A 20787-nucleotide genomic window follows, 5' to 3' on the forward strand; every position below is an offset into this window, starting at 1 on the left:
ATTGCAACTGCATGGAGACCCCAAGCAAGCCCACCCAGCTAAGCCCTTCCCAAATTCCTGACCCACAGAAACTATGAGAAATGATCCAGTGATTCTTGTTGTTTTAAGCTACTACATTTGGGGTTGGTTTGTTATGCAGCAGTAGCTAGTTAGATCATGACCCATTGCAAATCCTGTTGGACTGAAGTTCAGAATAACCTAGAAGCCAACCCATCTCACATCTCTACCCACTACCCAAATCCAAGCCACTGTCACCTCCTGCCTGGATGGCTGTGGTAGCCTCCTGACTTCTGCCCCGACCCTGCAGTCTGTCCCCTGCACAGCAGCCCAAGTGGGGCTACAGGGCAGAGATGACCCTGCTCAGAGCCCTCCAGTGGCTCCCATGGCACTCAAGTCCTGACAGTGACCCACAGGCCCAACAAGACCTGCCCCAGGACCTATCTGACCTCAGTTTGGCCCACCCGCCCCACCTCTCTCTGCTGCAGCCCCTCGGGCCTCTTGGCTGTGTCCCCAAACTCACCAAGCACTTCCCTTCCTCAGAGCCATTGACAGCGCCGTTCCCTCTACCTAGTTCTTTTCCCCCAGGTGTCTGGCTGGCTCCATCCCTCAGCCCTTCAGCTCTCAGCTAAAACATCACCTCCCTGGGGAGGCCTCCCCACCCCCACTTCCCCTCCACCAAAGTCCCTAGTCTCCTCTGCTTGATTTCTCTCTGTTGAATGCCCCGCCTCCTCATGGTGGTGATAAGTTAGATCTCAATTGTCTGTTGTCTACCTCTTCCCATCATTATATGAGCCCTTGCCAACAGGGACTTTGTTTTTACTGCTTTATCCTCAGTGCATAGAGCAGGCCCTGCACAAAATAGACCTTCAAATGTCTGTTGAATGAATGAAGGACACCAGAACCTTTCCGCCCAGTTGAAACCCTTGCTTAGTCTGCTTTCTGTTGCTTATAACAGAATACCTGAAACTGGATACTTTGTTTATTTATTTATTTTTTGGAAACAGAGTCTCGCTCTGTTGCCAGGCCGGAATGCAGTGTTGCGACCTCAGCTCACTGCAACGTCTGCCTCCCACATTCAAGCAGTTCTCCTGCCTCAGCCTCCTGAGTAGCTGGGACTACAGGCGCCCGCCACCACACCCAGCTAATTTTTGTATTTTTAGTAGAGACAGGTTTCAGCATGTTGGCCAGGACGGTCTCAATCTCTTGACCTTGTAATCTGCCCGCCTTGGCCTCCCAAAGTGTTGGGATTACCGGCGTGAGCCACCGCGCCCGGCCTTGAAACTGGATGCTTTATAAAGAAAAGGAATTTATTTCCTACAGGTGTGAAGCCTGAGAGGGCCAAGGTTGAGGGGCCACAGCTGGTGAGGGACTTCTTGCTGGTGGGGACTCTCTGCAGGTTCCCAAGATGGCGCAGGGCATCCCATGGTGAGGGAGCTGGGCGGGCTAACATGCTCAGGCCTCTCTTCCTTCCCCTCCCATGATAACCCATTATCCCATTAGTCCACAAATGGATTAATCTATTCTTGAGAACGGAGCCCTCCTGACCCCATCACCTCTTAAAGGGCCCACCTCTCAACATTGCCACACTGGGGATTAAGTTTCCTTAAAACGTGAGTTTTGGACGGAACAAATATTCAAACCATAGCACCCAGTGGGTGAGAGAGTAAGAGAAGGGGCGTCGAGCCTCTCAAGATGGGTTGCTCTCCTGCCTATTTAAGATACACCCCATACTTCAGATGTTGAAACTGATGCTTAGAGAAGGTGAATCATTTGTCAAGGCCTAACCAGTCGCTCACATAGTCAACAAATATTGATTGAGTTAAAGCTATATATAGCATCCAAATCTCCTGGGATCTTTGAACCCACACCTCCTGGGATCAAATCCCAGGGCTGCCACTTGCGAGCCAAAGGGGCAACTTACTTAATCTCTCTGTGCCTCAGTTTCCTCACATCTACCATGGGGCTACCCCCCACCCCAGAGGCAGGGGCATATTTGCCCTTTGGCTCCTGACTCCTAAGCTCTGGCATGCCTCATGTGCATGGCCCCTTCCAAGGCACCCTGCCTCTCTCATACCCACAATCATGTGTTTTCCTGGAAGAAGATCTCGAGACTGACTCAGCTTCAGGCCCCTAGTCCCCTACCCAGAGGGTTGTTTTGAGAATTAAATGAGTTACTGCCCATGAGGCGTGCCTGGCACATAGCAAGTGCTCAGTGCTGTTGCTGAGGGCCCACTGTGTGCTGGGCACGGTGCTTGGAGCCGGGAGTCAGTGGCAAAGACAGACCAAGCCTGCCATCATGGAGCCCATGTCCCAAGAGGGGAACAGACAGTGAACAAATGAGCAAATTGGAGCCTGCTCTGGGGAGGCAAGTGGCTGAAAGGAGAGAGCATTTTCAGGCAGGAGGAACAGCAGGTGCAAAGGCCCTGTGGTGGGGACGAGCTTGTCGCATTGGGGAAGTGAGTGAGGAGGCGCCGCAGGAGCTGTGGTCAGAGAAGCCGGGTGCTGGGTCTGCTTCCCTCTCCCCTCCCCGCCTCTGAGGGACCAGCTGGGGTACTGATCTACCATCTCCCTGTCCCTGCCTTGTGACCTCAGACCCTGTGCCCAGCCCCCACTTCCCCTTCCAGCTGTGACCCAGAAGTGGAGGGCACGTCCTTCCCTAGACTACATCTCCGTCCCCAGGGTGGGCCTGAAACTTCCAGAGCCTCAGTGGACTCAGCAGCTGTCCCCACTCCCTGACCCACCCACCTGCCCCCAGCAGCGTCAGACCCTCAAAAACTCCTCTCCTTTGCTTTCCCCAACCCTCCCAGAAACCATGGAGATTCCCCAGATGCATCAGACATTTCCCCAGCCCGGAACGCCCTGTCTGCCCTCCTCCATCTGACCAAATCTCAACGTCACCTCCTTCTGGAAGTCCCTGGGTTATGAGCAGAAAATGAGTCTTGCTCGTCTCTGTACCCCAGGGCCTGGTACAGGGCTTGGCACAAGGATAGACTGGTGATAAATGGAAAGCTATTCAGGTCCAATTGACACATTCTCCACTGGCCTGCTTGCCTGGCCCGTGCTGGGCATAGAAGCCAGGACTCTGACAGATGGCTCCACTCACGTTCATGGGCAAAGAACCCATTCCCAAGTCCAGGGTCCTGGAGTGTGCCTGGGCTCTGCACTAATCTGCGACGTGACCGTGGAAAGCCACCGGTCTCTGCTGGGCTTCTCCTTATCGCCAGAGCAGCAGCTGGAAGAGTCTATGCGTGAGTCACGGTGTGGGCCTGATCCAGACAGCCTGGGTTTGAATCCTGCCTGCCACTTGCTGCTGTGTGACCTTGGGTGAGTTTCTTAACTTCTCTGAGCCTCTGTTTCCCCATCAGTAAATGCTGAAGAGAATCAGTGCCTGTCTCACAGAATCGTTCTGAAGGTTCCTGGCGCTGGTTCTGTGGAAAGCTGGGCCTGTAGAAAGCACAGAAAGTGCATGCACCATGATTAGGCTTTGAGCTGCGTCTACAGGGACGTGATGTGCTTGTCGCACACATCTACTACATGTGTCAGAGTGGGAGCCTGGGAGTGCTCAGGACTGAGTCCTTTCTGAGGTTCCTCATGGCACCAAGGACAAGGGTAGCCAGAAACTCCCCGGGCCCCATCACAGCTCCCTGCTCGCGCGGGCTGGGGATGTGTGTGCACACCACACGGACGGGCGTCCGGTCCATCACAGGCACTCTCTTCCTGGACACACCACCTGCTCCGAGGCAGCCTCCATCCTCCCCCACCACTAGACACTCCGAGCAGTGGAATACCATTGAGGAGGTCCAGGGAAACAAGGTGATCCCATCATGGTGAACTGAGTTTCCATAGACCCACACACACATACCCTTACACACATACATACTCCCCTAGGGAAGGGTGGCTGGAAATAAGGTAACAGGACACATATGAAGGTTCTGGGAGGCTGGGCACAGTGGCTCACACCTGTAATCCCAGCACTTTGGGAGGCCGAGGCGGGTGGATCATGAGGTCAAGAGATCAAGACCATCCTGGCCAACATCATGAAACCCCATCTCTAATAAAATACAAAAATTAGCAGGGCGTGATGGCACGCGCCTGTAGTCCCAGCTACTCGGGAGGCTGAGGCAGGAGAATCGCTTGAACCCGGGAGGCAGAGGTTGCAATGAGCCGAGATTGTGCCACTGCACTCCAGCCTGGAGTAACAAGAGTGAAACTCCGTCTCAAGAAAAAAAAAAAAAAAAGTTTCTGGGGACCACAGCCGGTAAGGGGCTCACTCTCAGACTCCTGGGTTCCTGCCCCTTAGGGCCTGGGGGAGAAGGCCTCGTTTAAACAGAGAGTTTATTCATCTTAGTGATCTCTGTGTCCAAAGCCCATTGCACAGGGGAAGCTGAGGCCCAGGAAGCCTGAGTGACTCGTCTAAGATCACACAGCAGTATGGGAAGAGCCAGCCCTAGAACCCAGGACTCTGACTTCCTGGCCATGCCCCTCCCACACAGAGTGATGCGTGTCTAGAGATCACCCCAGTTCTACTTTCCAAAATGAGTCAGGAACATCTGTACCTCTGGGACTAAAAATACTCCCAGGGACACCCCAGTAAGAACGCTGACATCTTTCCGGGTGTCTGAAAACAGAACTGGCCTTCCTAAGAACTAACAACGATACTGTTTTCAGCCACGTTCCCTTCCTGTTCTTGCTACACGCTCTGTCAAATAGGTGGCCAGAGGCCCGGGTGCAGATGCAGTGGCTCACGTCAGTAATCCCAGCACTCTGGGAGGCTGGTGGGCGGATCACTTGAGGCCAGGAGTTTAAAGACCAGCTTGGGCAACATGGTGAAACCCTGTCTCTACTAAAAATACAAAAAATTAGCCGGGTGTGGTGGCACAAACCTGTAGTTCCAGCTACTCAGGAGGCTGAGGTGGGAGGATCACCTGAGCCGGGAAGTCAAGAGTGCAGTGAGCCATGATGGCATGCCACTGCACACCAGTCTGGGCAACAGGAATGAGACCCTTTCTCCAAAAGAAAAAAGAAAAGTAGGTGACCAGGCCCCATCTGACAGGATGTGCCACTGAGGCCTAAAGGGATCTGCCCAGGATCACACAGGCAGCCCCTGACACCTGGCTGCCACCTCCAAGCCTAGAACCTTCCCTGATGCCAACTCCCTCTCAGAGACTCGAGGGCAGAGCACAGACAGCATCCACCCCATCCCCACCCCGAATTCCTTTGATTTTTTTTTTTCATTTTTAATGTCTTGGCCGGGCACAGTGGCTCATGCCTGTAATCCCAGCACTTTGGGAGGCCGAGGTGGGCGGATCACAAGGTCAGGAGTTCGAGACCAGTCTGGCCAATATGGTGAAACCCTGTCTCTACTAAAAATGCAAAAAAAAAATAGTCAGGAGTGGTGGCGGACGCCTGTAGTCCCAGCTACTCGGGAGGCTGAGGCAGGAGAATCACTTGAACCTATGAGGCGGAGGTTGCAGTGAGCCAAGATCATGCCACTGCACTCCAGCCTGGGCGACAGAGCAAGACTCCGTCAAAAAAAAATCATTTTTAATATCTTTACCATAAAAGCAACAATACATGTTCATTTATGAAAATCTAAAAATTGCAGAAAAGTCAAAATAAGGAAGAAAAATCACCACCCACAGCCCCACCACCCAGAGACAATCATTGTTAAGGTTTGATGTATTTCCTTCCATAGTTTTTTGTTTGAGGACTTTAAAAAAAAAATGGGGCTGAGGTCATACTGTATATTAAAAGAAAAAAAAAAGGTGGTATCCTGCCTTTTTGACCTGCCATTATATCATGGCCACTTTTCTAGTTCTTTCACTCTCTGTAATCTCGTTTCTTTTTCCTCTTCTCTGAACCTCATTTTTATTGGCTGCCTAATATTTTGTCAAACCATATTCCATGGTTTATTTTGCCATTCCCTCATTGTTGGAAATCTCAGTTATTTCCAGTTTTTCGAAGCTATAAATAATATATTTCGATTAATATCTTTCTACAGATAGCTTTCCTTTTTCCATATTTAGGGGTTGCTCCTTGGCTGGCATGGAATTCCTGGGTCAGCAAGCCATGTGTGATATGCTTCTGACTCAACCCAGTTGCTTTTCTAAGGACCTGAGCCATGCCTGGTCTACAGAGGAGCAGAGAAGCCCCAGGAGGTGACATACACTGCTCATGGCCACTCAGCCGGTTAGCCATGCCCACGCTCCTTCCTCTGTCTCTCGCCTATCTCTGTCATCATGCTTCCATCTAATCATTTTCATTCATTCATTCGATTCAACAGAGAAGGTGAACCCACTGTGTGCCAGGCGCAGGTCCGGGCTCCAGAGACCCGGCAATGGACAGTCAAAGCCTGTGCCCTCCAGGCGTTTCTACCACAAGGCATGATGGGAAGAAGGGTATATCCTCACCCACCTCCGCATTTGGTTATATGCAATGTGAGGTGTTCGTTTGCATGGCTTCTCATTTGCATCCCACCTGGGGACAGGTGGGCCGGCAGAGGGTGACATCTATCAGCTCTAAGGGCAGGGTCCTGGTTTTCCTCAGCCCCAAACTGTTTTCTAACATTTGGCCTTCCCTTAAAACTTGGGAGATTTCACAAGAGTCTGGATTTCTGACTTCTTCTGAACACTCTGTAGGCCTGGCCACACTGGGCCCAGGTCCCAGAGGGCCCCCAGGGATTGGAGCTCAGTCGTGGCACCCCCTCTGCCCAGGCCCGACCTGGCTACCTTGACACACACCACACTGAGCTTCTTGGCCGTCCTTTCTGCACACATTCATTGGGTCCTGGCCATTCCTGACTCGGCTGGAGGGATGTTAATGATTGTAATCCAGAGACAAGTCACAAGAAGATGAAGTCACTTGGCTGAGGTGACAGAGCTACAAGGGACAGGGGCAGGATTTGAACCAGAGCGACTCGGATCCTGAGTCCAGGCTTTTGGCCACGCCTGCCTGACAGTCCAGTGGGAAAACTGTCAGGTCCTGGGAGACCCTGGCAGGGGGACAGACTGCCCCACCGCAGCCAGGGGCAGCTCAGAGGGTCCCCAGGGCAGCAGAGGTCTAAGACCACTGTGGACATGGGCCTGAGAGCCAGAGCTCAAAAGTCAGGTTGGAGGTTTCCTATTTGAGGAGAGCCTCCCTCTGCCCAGAACACCCTCTCCTCCTGCCTTTACCTGCTTCATGCTTACTCTTGCTCAGCTGAGACGCCACCTCCTCCAGGGAGCCCTCCCTGACCCCAGGGAGGGTTTACAGCTAGCTTCAGAGCTCCGGTCCAGCCCAGAGGGAGGTGTGGCCCTGACTGGATGGGAGAGACTAGAGCACCAGCACCAGTGACTTACACATTCCCAAGTTTCCACTGCCTCCCACGGGAGACCCCCCGCTCGCACTCCAAACCCCAGCCACCTCCCACCCCCTCAGCTCCATGTGGATTAAGAGAGAAAGGAAGAAACAGCAGTGACTGCAGGACAGTAGGACGGCTGCTGGCCTAGGGTGGCCCAGAAAACCCCAGCTTCACCCTACACTGGCTGCATGACCTGAGGCATTTCCTAACCACCCTGCGCCTTGGCTTCCTCACCTCTAAAACAGACTGTAGTGGAGTTCCTCCCTCCCGGTCACTGTGAGCCTTCACGGGAAGAGCCCCTGGTGGACACCCCAGTAAGTGGTCATCTTATTATTAATGAACAGGGGAGCACCCACCCCCGGGGTCATGGGCTCACAGAATGCGGGGAGCCTAGAGCCCCCAGCCCCACCGTCTCATTTTATAGCTGAGGAGACTAAGCCCAGGGAGGGAGGAAGCCATGGCTTCAGCAAGAGGCCCTGACCCTAACTCCAGAGGGAGCCCCTGACCCTAACTCCAGAGGGAGCCCCTGACCCTAACTCCAGTTGCTGCCGCCAGCTGCCCTTAGCCCTGGTCCACCCCCTCTAAGGGTTCCTGATAAGAAGGGACCCAGGGCCGGGTGCAGTGGCTCTCACCTGTAATCCCAGCACTTTGGGAGGCCAAGCAGGGGCGGATCACTGGAGGCCAGGAATTCGAGACCAGCCTGGCCAACATGGTGAGAACCCCACTCCCTGTCTCTACTAAAAATACAAAAAGTAGCCAGGTGTGGTGGCGGACACCTGTAATCCCAGCTACTCTGGAGGCTGAGGCAGGGTAATCGCTTTAACCCAGGAGGTGGAGGTTGAAGTGAGCCAAGATAGTGCCACTGCACTCCAGCCGGACCAACAAAGCAAGACTATCTCAAAAAAAAAAAAACAAAACGAAACAAAAAAACAACAACAACAATAAAAGAAGGGACCCAGTGATGCAGCCCCCACCCCGGCCCCTTCCCCTTAAAGGGCCAGCATGTATCTCTGTCCTGGGCCCAGCCACGGCCTGCTTCCTGGCCATTTGCTTCTCTGGGAAGGAACCCTCTCCCCAGAGACTGTCTCTTCTGGCCAAGGAGGGAGGGGGTGGCTTCCTGGCCTAAACAATGGGGCCAAGAGGCATGAAGCCTCCTGTAGCCTCTGGCATGCAGTAGTGTGGGGACATCTGATGGGACGTCATTCCAATCAGGGAGCACAGGGAATGTGGAGATGGGGACCGGAGAGGGCAGGGGTGCAAGGGGGCTGCAGAGTGGGAACCCACTGCAGGTAACATGAGTCCCCTTCTCCAGCCCCAGCAAGGAGGCAGCAGCATTGGGGAACACTCTCTGGCCTTGTGACCCTGAGCAAGGGGCTCCATCTTCCTGGGCCTGTTTCCCCACCTGTAAAATGGAGAATGACAGGAACATCTACCCCATAGGATGGTGGTGACGTTAAACCAAATCCTTTCTGTAAAGGGCCTAGTCCTGAGCAAACGGGGTCAGAGTTCACAAACACGCTGCTGCCGGGCAGTGGGGGGCGGTGGTCACAGGCACAGACTCAGCCACCACCTGCCTGGGTGAGAATCCCCCTCTGTGTTTGCAGCTGTGTGGCCTTCGGTAAGTTACTTAACCTCTCTGTGCTTTTGTGTCCTTGTCTATAAAACAGGGATAATAATCATCCCGCAGAACAATATCTGAAAACTAACTGAGTTAACCTATGTAAAGTGCTTGAAGAACATGTCTGGGCCCTTCCTAAGCACTCAAAGTACCCATCACTGTGGCCATCGTCATCAGTATCGCCTCCTTGCCTTCTGCGAGTTTCTTATTGCTGCTGTAACTAACTACCATTCACATGGTGACTTACAACAACCCAAAGTTTTTCTCTCACAGATCTGGAGGCCCAGGTCTCGGCAGGGCTGAGTTCCTTTTGCAGGCTCCAGGGGAGAACCGTTTCCTTGCCTTCTCCGGCTTCTACAGGCTGCCTGGACTCCTTGGCTTGTGGCCCCTTCCTCTGTCTTCAAAGCCAGCAGCATAGCGTCTGCAAACTCTCATCTGATCTCTCCTTCTGCCACATTTCCTCTCTGACTTTGACTCTCTCCCCTCCTATTTTTTCTTTTTTTGAGACGAAGTCTCACTCTGTCACCCAGGCTGGAGTGCACTGGAGCAATCTCAGCTCACTGCAACTTCCACTTCCCGATTCAGGTGATCCTCCTGCCTCAGCCTCCTGAGTAGCTGGGATTACAGGCACTCACCACCATGCCCGATTAATTTTTGTATTTTTAGTAGAGACGGGGTTTTACCATGTTGGTCAGGCTGGTCTCGGACTCCTGACCTCAGGTGATCCACCCAGGCCTCCCAAAGTGCTGGGATTACAGGTGTGAGCCACTGCGCCCAGCCACCTTCTATTTTTTTTTTTAATTTTTCGTTTTGAAATCATCTTAGATTTATAGAAGAGTTGTGACAATAATTCAGAAATTTCTCATGTACCTGCCTCCCAGTTTCCCCTAATGTTAACATCTTACATCACCATGGTGCCTTTATCAAAGTGCGGGAGTTAGCATTGAGATACAGACTGTATTCAGACATCACCAGCTTCCCCACTGATGTCCTGTCTCTGTTCCGGGATTGGCCAGGATCCCACATGGCATCAGGTCATCAAGTCTTAGTCCCCTCCCAAACGTGATGGCTCCTCAGACTCTCCTGATCCTGATATTTTCAGGAGTGGTGGTTGGTGGTTGGGTATTTGGTAGAAGGTCCCTCCTTTAGGATTTTTTATTTTATTTTATTTTTTTTAGACAGAGTCTCACTCTGTTGCCCAGACTAGAGTGTAGTGGCACTATCTCAGCTCACTGAAACCTCCACCTCCCAGGTTCAGGCAATTCTCATGCCTCAGCCTCCTGAATAGCTGGACAGCTGGGACTACAAGCGCACACCACCACGCCCAGCTAATTTTTGTATTTTTAATGGAGACGGGGGTCCGCCATGTTGGCCAGGCTGGCCTCCAACTCTTGACCTCAGGTGATCTACCCACCTCGGCCTCCCAAAGTGCTGGGATTACAGGCATGAGCCACTATGTCCAGCCCCTTTTGGATTTTTAAAAACAGCTTTATTGAGATATAAATCATATACCACATAATTTATCCATTTAAAGTGTAGAATTCAGTAGGTTTGGTTTATTACATTATTAACCTGTTAAATTATGGTAAAGTATATGTAATGTAACCCTTATTATTTTACCTTTTTTTTTTTTTTTTTTGAGATGGAGTTTCACTCTTGTTGCCCAGGCTGGAGTGCAATGGCATGATCTCGGCTCACTGCAACGTCCACCTCCCAGATTCAGGCGATCCTCCTGCCTCGGCCTCCCAAGTTGCTGGGATTACAGGTGCTTGCCACTACGCCTGGCTAATTTTTGTATTTTTAGTAGAGATGGGGTTTCACCATGTTGGCCAGGCTGGTCAGGAACTCCTGACCTCAAGCAATCCACCCGCCTCAGCCTCCCAAAGTGCTGGGATTACAGGCATGAACTACCACATCCGGCCTATTTTACCATTTTTAAGTTACAGTTCAGTTTGCTTTCCTCTTAGAAAGACCTTGTGATCACAGCAGGCCTGCCTGGATAATCCAGGCCTGCACCTGAATCACATCTGCAGAATTGCTTTTGCCATGTGAGATGGCATAGTCACCGATTCTGGGAATTGGGACGTGGGTGTCTTTAGGGGGCTGTTATTCTGTCTACCTTCCTTCAAGCCACCAGCCACCTCACGCCCACAATCACCTGTGTCCCTGTTGGATCTGGGCTCCCCAAGGGCAGGGCTAGGCCCGCCTCCATCCCTGCTATGTCCCCAGTGCCTAGAACAAGGCCTGAGACACCTGAATTCCAACATGCATTAGCACTTACTCTAACTTGGGCATGGGAAACAGCCATTCTTGTGAAAAATGGTCAAACCTCCATTTCATCGGGTCCGCCCTAACTTGCATGAGGCACACCACGCAGAAGCTTACCCAGAGGACCTCGCCCCTCCGAACAACAGTCTGTGCAGAACAAGCCACCCTCAAACCCACTTTACAGACAAGAAACCAAGGCCCGGATAGGTGAATGAAGTCCCCATAGTCACACCTACATTTGCACGTAGGTGTCCCTGCCCCAAGGTGGGAGTCACCAGGAAGCCATTTCAGGATTTGCTGTTGAAATCCTGAAATACAGACCAGGCATGGTGGTTCACACCTGTAATCCCAGCACTTTGGGAGGCTGAGGAGAGTGGATCACCTGAGGTCAGGAGTTCAAGACCAGCCTGGCCAACATGGCGAAACCCCGTCTCTACTAAAAATACAAAACTAGCCAGGCATGGTGGCGGACACCTGTAGTCCCAGATACTCAGGAGGCTGAGACACGAGAATCGCTGGAACCAGGGAAACAGAGGCTGCAGTGAGACAAGATGGCACCACTGCACTCTAGCCTGGACAACAGAATTAGACCCTGTCTCAAAAAAAGAAGAAAAAAAAAAGAAATCCTGAAATACACCTAAACCAATGGTAACTAGTCTCTGCTTCAGGCCTCCCAAATGCCCCTCGCACTGCCCGGACCCTCCAGAGCCCCCAGGCCTCCTCATGAACCAGTAACTAGTGGTCAGTGCTTGTGGCAACAGGGGCTCCCCAGGCCACCCGATTGGTCAGCACCAGCCCTGCTGGGTGGAAAATGCTCTCCCCTGTTCTGGCCCACAGTAGGCACTCAGTGGGCATAGCGGGCTGGAAAAGTGATGACTCAGCCTCACTCTTTGCTCCCCACCGCAGACCCCATGAGGGAATGGCACCTCAGCACTACAGGCTGTGCCCCCCTTCCTCTGGGGCCAGTGGATGTGAGGGGACTGTAGGGTGCAGAACAAGAGGGCTTTGAGGCAGCCCTATCTCCGGAGGGAAGTGGAGGAGATAGCACAGCTTCTCACTTTCCCAGCCTGTCCCAGAGCAGAGATAACCTGGAGGAGACGGGGTGCCTGGAGCCCTGTGAGCAATAGGGCCACCCACCTGCCCCCCAGGTCTCCCACAGTCCCTGCTATCGCAGACTCCAGGCTGAAACCCGAGGAACCGCTCGGAAGAGTGGCCCAAGACAGGCAGGTGATAAGCTGGGCCAGTCAGCATCCCCTGGAAAAAGGCCTGCAGGCTGCAACTGCCCCTTCCGCAAGCCTGGTGCCACCCGAACCTGCCCCGGGGAGCCCACCATCACCTGCCCCATGCTCCCCAGAGCTGCCCTAAGACATGGCCTCAGCCTAGCTGCCTTCAAAAGCGCCCGGTCCAGCCCTCTTGCTGACCAATGAAGAAGCTGAAAACAGAGAGGCTGGGGGTCTTGCCCAAGTCACACAGCATTTTGATGGCTGAGGGAGGACTTGAACCCACATCTCCTGGCTGCTGCAGGGAACACACCAGACTGCTGTTCTCAAATACGGCTCAAATATTAAGAGAAGGGGGCAGGGGGCTGGAAAGCACTAGGTCTAAACTCCAGAGGGGTGGGTTGGGGAGTGCAGAGAAAGAGGCAGAATCATGTGGAGAGTCTGGAGCTGGGAACCAGACAGCAGGTTTCTGTCTCCAGCTCTGCAACTAACCCACCGTGACACCTTGACCCAGTCTCTGCTCCTCTCTGAGCCTCAGTTTCCCAATATATGAAAAGGAGATAAGAATGGTTTTATCCCATCCTGGCTAACACAGTGAAACCCTGTCGCTACTAAAAATACAAAAAGATTAGCCGGGCGTGGTGGCAGGCACCTGTAGTCCCAGCTACTTGGGAGGCTGAGGCAGGAGAATGGCGTGAACCCGGGAGGCGGAGCTTGCAGTGAGCCGAGTTTGCGCCACTGCAGTCCAGAGCTTGGGCAACAGAGCGAGACTCCGTCTCAAAAAAAAAAAAAAAAAAAAGAATGGTTTTATCACCAGGCACGGTAGCTCACGCCTCTAATCCCAGCACTTTGGGAGGCCAAGGCAGGCAGATCACGAGGTCAGGAGTTTGAGACCAACCTGGCCAATATGGTGAAACTCTGTCTCTACTAAAAATACAAAAATTAGCAGGGCGTGGTGGTGGGCATCTGTAATCCCAGCTACTCAGGAGGCTGAGGTAGGAGAATGGCATGAACCCTGGAGGCAGAGGTTGCAGTGAGCCGAGATTGCACCATTGCACTCCAGTCTGGGCAACAGAGCAAGACTCTGTCTCAAATAAAAAACAAAAAAACAAGAATGGTTTTACCATAAGAGTTGCATAGTGGATTAAACGACTTAATTTGATTAAGGGACTTGGGGGAGTGGCTGGTCCCTAGCAGAGACTCTAAGGCGCTGCCGTTGTTACTCCATCTGTCCCTCCTCCTCCGCCAAGAATGCGGTGAAGGCAGGGGCTGGAGGTATTTGACTCTCAACACGGGTCCCACGCTCATGGTGTCCACTCCTTCAGCAAGTTTCCTGAGGAATGGCTGCATTGCAGTCAGCGCTTCCATCAGGAAAGCATGGGGGCCACGAGAGGCCAGCACACACGGCTGGATGAATGAGTGAGTGAGTGAGTGAATGAATGAGTGAATGAATCCATCTGCCCAGTTTCTCCCCAGTGGAGGCGCTCTCAGCCTAGTTTCCTCCTAGCCCTCCCCCGCCTCTGCTCCCTTGATAGCTCTATGCCCCGCACCCACCCTGGCCCCAGGTAGAAGCAGCAGGTGGCCGGGGCTGCAGGTGGCCAGTGCAGAAGAGGCTCTTGCTCAGGGACAAATGTGCTGCTTCCCACAGACTAGCAGCCCAGACACTGCCTGCGTGTTGTCTGCCCAGCCCCAGCCTGAGCAAGCCTTCCTTGCAGGCCCAGAACTCTTAGTGCTTGGTGGCCAAGAGTGCTGGCTGGCCTGAGACCCAGAGCAGAGGCCTCACCCACAGCCAGCCCTGGAGGGCCAGCGACTGGAGGGTGAGTGATTCCCAGGTCTGGAACCACCAGGGCCCTGCTCTGGCCTTCAGTACATTCACATGTAGCACCAAATCTGATTCCCATGGCAGGATGAAGGCATTGTTAGCTGGGGAAACTGAGGCTCAGGGTAGGAAGTGTCTTGCCCAAGGTCCCAGAGTAAGACAGAGGCAGAGAGGAATAGGAATCAGGGCTCAGTTCTTCCAGCCTGCAGTGCTGAGGGGGTCCTCATATCTCCTTGTTTCCCCCATCACCCACACCCCGCCCCCCAGGCGCAGTGTCCCAGCACGGGGCTCCTGTCTCCACTATCTCTCAAGAGTTCCTCGGAACCCCAGTTTCCTCATCATCGGTGTGACTGACCATAGTTCCAGTTTCCTCCAACCGTGTGGTTGTGAGGATTCAATGACAGGCTGTCATTTGCATAGACATTTCTCCAAAAGAGATCTACAAATGGCTAATAAGTGCATGAAAAGATGCTCAACATGACTGCTGATTACGGAAATGAAAATGGAAACCTGTCCCTTCAGTGGTGGGACCATGTCACACCCACTAGCATCGCTGTGATCAAAAAGACAGGGTCCAGCGTTGGTGAGGATGTGGGGAAACTGGAGTCCTCCCAGGTTGCTGGTGGGAATGCAAAATGATTCAGCCGCTCTGGAAACCAGTTTGGCAGTTCCTCAAAATGTTAAACATGGAGCTGCCACATGACCCAGCAATTTTCCTCCTAGATATTTACAAAGGAGAAATGAAAACATACGTCCACACAAAGGCATGTACAAGAATGCTCACGGAAATATTATTTTTAATAGTCAAAAGGTGAAAACAACCCAAATGTACATCAACGGATAAGTGGACACACAAATTGTGGTATGTCCTTACAATGGAATATTACTTGGCCATGAAAAGGAATGTTCTTTCCAGCTGCTCTAGTGGAAGAACTAGCAACAAACAACAAGGAATGGAGGAGTGACACATGCCACAACATGATGCTCACTGAAAGAAGCCAGTCACAAAAGGCTACACATTGTAGGATTCCATTTATACGAAATGTCCAGAACAGAGAACTCTCTAGAGACAGAAAGCAGAGGAGCGTTCCAGGGGCTGGAGGAGGGGAACAGGGAGTGGCTGCTGATGGGTGTTGCGTTTCTTTGCGGGATGATGTAAATGTTCTAGAATTAGATTGTGGTCATGGTTGTACAACTCTGTAAATATACTCAAAACCACTGACTCATATACTTTAAGTGGGTAAATTTTAGGGTATGTAAATTATCTCCCAAGAAAGTGCTGTAAAAAATGGGCTCGTCCAAGTCCAGGCTGGACAGCCTGCAGTTCAAGCCCAGGAGGCAGGAGCTACCGTGGATCTTATTCTTGCTATCTGCACTCTCATCTCTTTGACTCCTCACAACCACCCTGTAAGGTGGGCACTTGGCAGAGGAGGCAATTCAAGTTTTGGAGAAGGAGGAGACCCACTACTTCCCTGGTCTTCTGGACAGACAACAGCAGGGTGAGACTGGCTGGGGGCTCAGTGAGCTTCAATTCCACATGCCGGGGCTCTGTAGTAGACTTGGGGAGGGGGGACTCTAAGGTCTCCAGGCCTCTGACCCTCCTACCCCCCCAACTGCAGGCCTCTGTTTTCCCATCTAGCAAAAGGGCTCCATCAGTGGTTTTCAAACTGTGCTCCAAGGCACCCTGGGGCCAAGAAGAGTTTGCAACCACCCTGAAGAGAGGATGTCCCCAAGGTCCTCCTGGGATCCCACCCACCTCCCTGCCTCCCCTTCAGTCCTGGTCCACCCCTGAAAGGCAGGATGTGGCTGCCAAAGGTAGGTAGGGAAAAGGAAGGCGTGGGGGGCTGTGCGCAGGAATCTACATCCTGGGGACCCGGAGATGGGAACTCCAGGTGCCTGGAGCCTGGCTTCCGGCTCCATCCTAGGGAAGAAGCCTCGGCCGCCGCCTCCCGGGATGAAACCGCCTGGCTTGCAGCCCAGAGCTCTTCCCGGACACGGTGCCGGCATCTCAGCTTCCCTTCTGGTGGAGGAGACACTCTGGAGCCGCTTGCTCAGGGCTTGGGTTTCCAAGACTGGATCATCCATGGCTGTGGCTACTGAGTCCCAGATACCCCAAGTATCCAGCAAGAGAGTGAGGCTGGGCCTGTGCCGAGCGCTGGGGACCCTGCCCATTCTGTTTGCATGAATTTAACCCCAGCACTCCCTTCTGCGGAGGAGGACTACCAGGTTGGGGGATGTCCGTGAGCAACAGGACGCGGTGAGGCCTGAGGCCAAATGGAGCACCCCTGGCCCTTCCAAAGCGGGCAGTGGCTACTTGGCTCCAGCCTGCAATGGCCAGACTTTTGATTTTTCAAGAGAAGCCAGAAATCTGGGTTATAATTTGAAATCTCCAGAGTTTGGAAAAGTTTTATGAGCAAAACACATCCACAAACGGGGCACAGCCCGCAGGCTACCCACGGGCAACATTATCTCCTGGATGGGTACAACCACTGCCTTTTTTATTTTTATCTTTTACTTTTTTTTATTTTTGGTAGAGACAGGGTCTTGCTGTGTCACCCAGGCTGGAGTATGGTGGTGTGATCATAGCTTACTGCAGCTCCGACCCCCTGGGCTCAAGGAATCCTCCTGCCTCAGCTTCCCGAGTAGCTGGGACTACAGGCACACAGCACCATGGCCAGCTAAGTTTGTTTTTTTGGGTGTTGGGGGGGATGGTCAGGGGTAGAGATGGGGCCTCACTATGTCTCCCAGGCTGGCTTTTTTTTTTTTTTTGAGATGGAGTCACGTTCTGTCACCCAGGCTGAAGCACAATGGTGTGATCTTGGCTCACTGCCACCTCTGGGTTCAAGCGATTCTCCTGCCTCAGCCTTCCGAGTAGCTGGGATTACAGGCACGTGCCACCATGCCAGCTAATTTTTGTGTTTTTAGTAGAGACAAGGTTTTACCATGTTGCCAAGGCTGCTCCCGAACTCCTGACCTCAGGTGATCCTCCTGCCTCAGTCTCCTAAAGTGCTAGGATTACAGGCGTGAGCCACTGCGCCTGGCCCCAGGCTGGTCTTGAACTCCTGCCCTCAAGCGATCCTCGTGCATCGACAGCTCAAAGTGCTGAAATTACAGGCATAGGCCACCGTGCCCAGCCACAAGCAGCATCTTGCAGATGAGAACACTGAGGCTCAGGGGAAGCAACACGTGCAGTCCCCGAGAGGCAAGTAGCCCAGCTCAGACTCAAGCCCGTCTCCGAATTCCAGATTCCAGGAAGGACGCTTCCATGAAGCTATTCCTTTGCTTTGAAAAAAAAACAACCTTCCCTTTACAGCCTCGTCAAATAACAATGGAACACCCACCCATACACCGCAGCTCAAGGAAGCTGTTTCTGTGCTGATGCCTGCCATTCTCCAAGAAAAAACTCCGCCATTCACAGGGTGTGTTTAAGGCGGAGAAGAGAATACAAATGCATCTCCCCGCGTACCCGCCTAGGGCATCTCTGGGAAAATATACTCAAATACTCAAGAAACGGTGGGGGAACGGGGTGGGAGGAGGACTTCTCTCTCACTGCATATCCTTTGAGTATTTTGATGATTTGGACATGTGAACATATTCGCTCTTCAGCAAGTAAATGGTTGTTTTGTTTGTTTTTCATTGTTCCCTCAATTCATTCTGAGCCTGGGACAGGAAGGGGCATTTCCAGGTGTCTCTGGGGCCCAGAGCCAACTCCCTGGGAGCTGGAGAGAATTGGGGAGGGGAATTAAGCCTGGATGGGACCCCCCGTGTGCCAACCACCCTGCAAATCCCCACCCACCCCTGTGTGCACAAGTACACTTGGTCCTCACAACCACCCCAGAATGGGAAAAAGTTACAATCCCTGTCTACACATGAGGAAACTGAGTCACACAACCAGAAGTTATGGAAGCCTGTTTGGAGCTTGGGGGTCAGGTCCTAGGCCCACCCCTGCTCCTCCCCAGGCCCTCCCGTTTCTCAGCTGAGGATCCACAGCCTGGGATCTGTCACAGCCCAACCCAGGCCCCAGGCCCCAGGCTCATTCTCCAGTTCCCTCTGGTGAGCTAGTGGGGCGGTTCTGGCCCCAATGGCACCACCACACTCCTGCCTACCCAGCTGGGCTTGGAGCAGCTGGATTCCTTCTGGGAATGGTCCCATCCCAGGTCCAAAGACCATCTGGGCTCCATCCAGAGTCATTTCCACCCCTGAACCTCCGGTGCAGCTGGGGGCTACACATACACCCCCGCCCGCCCCATGGAGCCTGTGCCTGGGAGTCCCTCGGTACTTCCTGCCCAAGGTAAGATTCGCAGGCAGGATACCCAGAGAACACAAGGTGTCCCCTTGGGCATCTCACAGCATCGCCAGGAAGAGTTTGGCACCCCATTGACTCCTCCTGTGAAGAGACCAGAGAGATTAGACCATTAGGTTAAAGTCACGCAGCCAATGGGCAGGAAGATAAACTGTGCTGTTATTCAGAGTCACCTAGACCTGCTTTGGGTTATAGAAGAAATATGCCAATAGGGCCAGGCGTGGTGGCTCGCACCTGAATCCCAGCACTTTGGGAGGCCGAGATGGGCAGATCACCTGAAGTCAGGAGTTTGAGACCAGCCTGGCCAACATGGTGAAACCCCATCTCTACTAAAATTACAAAAAATTAGCTGGGCGTGGTGGCAGGTGCCTGTAATCCCAGCTACTTGGGAGGCTGAGGCAGGAGAATTGCTTGAACTTGGGAGGCAGAGGTTGCAGTGAGCCGAGATCGTGCCACTGCACTTCAGCCTGGGTGACAGAGCAAGATTCCGTCTTGGAAAAAAAAAATTAAAATAAATACATAAATAAAAAATAAAAATACAGAAAATTAGCTGGGCGTGGTGGCGCAGGCCTGTAATCCCAGCTACTCAGGAGGTTGAGGCAAGAGAATCTCTTGAACCTAGGAGACAGTGAGCAGAGATCACACCACTGCACTCCAGCCCGGGTGACAAAGCGATATCAAAAAAAAAAAAAAAGAAAAAGAAATATGCAAATATGGCAAATCCATTCTCATTGGAAAGGAGTCATACTATGCAGATGAGGCTCCCCACTGCTCTCCATCCCCCTCCTCTGCTTCACTTTGCTCCCCAGCATCTACCCTTCCAGACGTGTCACAGGGCTACATGTGAATTACTGTCTGTCTCCCACGAGACAAGGACTGTGTCTGTTGTGTTACCCACTGTGTTGTGTTCCCAGCACCTTGAACATAAAATAAGGAGATCATCCTGGATGATTTGGGTGGGCCCAGCACAATCACAAGAATCCCTGGATGTGCAAGAGGGAGGCGGAAGAGCAAGTGTCAGGGTCAGAGGGAGTGGAAGACGCTGTGCTGCTGGCTTTGAGGGGAGGAAGGAACTGCAGGCCAAGGAATGCGAGCGGCCTCTAGGAGCTGCAAAGCCAAAGGAGGGCCCATGAAGGCACAGGCCCTGCCCGCACCTTGACTTTAGCCCACAAGACCCACTTCAGACTTCCGACCTCCAGAGCTGTAAGAGCTCACATCCCTGTTATTTTAAACCGCTACATTTGTGGTCATTCCTCACAGCAGCAATAGGAAACTGATAGGAAACTAACGCAGTTACAGTGTGGGCTCAAAAACACTTTCCTCTGAATGTACATTTGTTTTGTTTTGAACTGAGTCTCACTCTGTCACCCAGGCTGGAGTGCAGTGACACAATCACGGCTCATTGCAGCCTTGACCTCCCAGGCTCAAGCGATCCTTCCACCCCAGCTTCCTGAGTGCTGGGACCACAGGCGTGCACCATCACGCCTGGCTACTTTTTTTTTTTTTTGAGATGGAATTTTGCTCTTGTCACCCAGGTTGGAGTGCGATGGCGTGATCTCGGCTTACTGCAACCTCCACCTCCTAGGTTCAAGCGATTCTCCTGCCTCAGCCTCCCAAGTAGCTGGGACTACAGGTGTGCACCACCACACCTGGCTACTTGTTGTATTTTTAGTAGAGACAGGCTTTCACTATGTTAGCCAGGCTGATCTCAAACTCCTGACCTTAGATGATCCGCCTGCCTCATCCTCCCAAAGTGCTGGGATGACAGGTGTGAGCCCCCGTGCCCGACCGTGTTGAAGTGTTGGAAAGTGTGCTTCTTCATTGGTATGGAGCCCCACCTGGTCAGCACGGATCCAGCCCCCTCTTGCGTGTCCCTTTGTGCGGAGGGTGCTCACAGAGTACTGGCAGGCGTCCAGGGCCATTTTTCCTCTTTCACTATGACACACAGTGCCACGAGCGTGTCCATGAGCACGAGGGGGTGTTTCCTAAGACCTGCCTAGGCCGTTCCTCACTGTGGGACCTCGGGGACATCACATCCCCTCTCTGAGCCTCAGTGTCCTCATCTGTTAAATGGAGCATCTGATGGTCCCTCCCTCACAACGCGCTCTCCCTATGCCAAGCTGGTGCCCTCTCCTCTCCTCTTGGCAGGGCCCTGCAGGGGGGCAAAGGACACAGCGGGAGACTCCACCCTGACGCTCAGCTGTGATCAGCGTGTCAGGC

The 20787-nt window shown here is 52.8% G+C and overlaps 7 annotated features.

Moving 5' to 3' along the window:
- Positions 376 to 875: an enhancer, noted in NCBI's record as "H3K4me1 hESC enhancer chr22:39658425-39658924 (GRCh37/hg19 assembly coordinates)". NCBI's record gives its function as "activates a minimal SCP1, AML or CMV promoter by ChIP-STARR-seq in primed H9 embryonic stem cells {active_cell/tissue: H9 hESC(primed)}" and the evidence as "EXISTENCE:reporter gene assay evidence [ECO:0000049][PMID:30033119]".
- Positions 4497 to 4576: an enhancer, noted in NCBI's record as "active region_19038". NCBI's record gives its function as "activates an Ori minimal core promoter by ATAC-STARR-seq in GM12878 lymphoblastoid cells {active_cell/tissue: GM12878}" and the evidence as "EXISTENCE:reporter gene assay evidence [ECO:0000049][PMID:35858748]".
- Positions 4757 to 5026: an enhancer, noted in NCBI's record as "active region_19039". NCBI's record gives its function as "activates an Ori minimal core promoter by ATAC-STARR-seq in GM12878 lymphoblastoid cells {active_cell/tissue: GM12878}" and the evidence as "EXISTENCE:reporter gene assay evidence [ECO:0000049][PMID:35858748]".
- Positions 6795 to 7327: an enhancer, noted in NCBI's record as "H3K4me1 hESC enhancer chr22:39664844-39665376 (GRCh37/hg19 assembly coordinates)". NCBI's record gives its function as "activates a minimal SCP1, AML or CMV promoter by ChIP-STARR-seq in naive H9 embryonic stem cells {active_cell/tissue: H9 hESC(naive)}" and the evidence as "EXISTENCE:reporter gene assay evidence [ECO:0000049][PMID:30033119]".
- Positions 15667 to 15841: a silencer, noted in NCBI's record as "fragment chr22:39673716-39673890 (GRCh37/hg19 assembly coordinates)". NCBI's record gives its function as "represses an EF-1alpha promoter that drives an FKBP-Casp9 reporter gene in an ReSE screen in K562 erythroleukemia cells {active_cell/tissue: K562}" and the evidence as "EXISTENCE:reporter gene assay evidence [ECO:0000049][PMID:32094911]".
- Positions 15826 to 16585: an enhancer, noted in NCBI's record as "H3K4me1 hESC enhancer chr22:39673875-39674634 (GRCh37/hg19 assembly coordinates)". NCBI's record gives its function as "activates a minimal SCP1, AML or CMV promoter by ChIP-STARR-seq in primed H9 embryonic stem cells {active_cell/tissue: H9 hESC(primed)}" and the evidence as "EXISTENCE:reporter gene assay evidence [ECO:0000049][PMID:30033119]".
- Positions 19660 to 20159: an enhancer, noted in NCBI's record as "H3K4me1 hESC enhancer chr22:39677709-39678208 (GRCh37/hg19 assembly coordinates)". NCBI's record gives its function as "activates a minimal SCP1, AML or CMV promoter by ChIP-STARR-seq in naive H9 embryonic stem cells {active_cell/tissue: H9 hESC(naive)}" and the evidence as "EXISTENCE:reporter gene assay evidence [ECO:0000049][PMID:30033119]".

The sequence above is a fragment of the Homo sapiens genome, chromosome 22, assembly GCF_000001405.40.
Source record: "Homo sapiens chromosome 22, GRCh38.p14 Primary Assembly".
In the NCBI taxonomy this organism is placed as follows: Eukaryota; Metazoa; Chordata; class Mammalia; order Primates; family Hominidae; genus Homo; species Homo sapiens.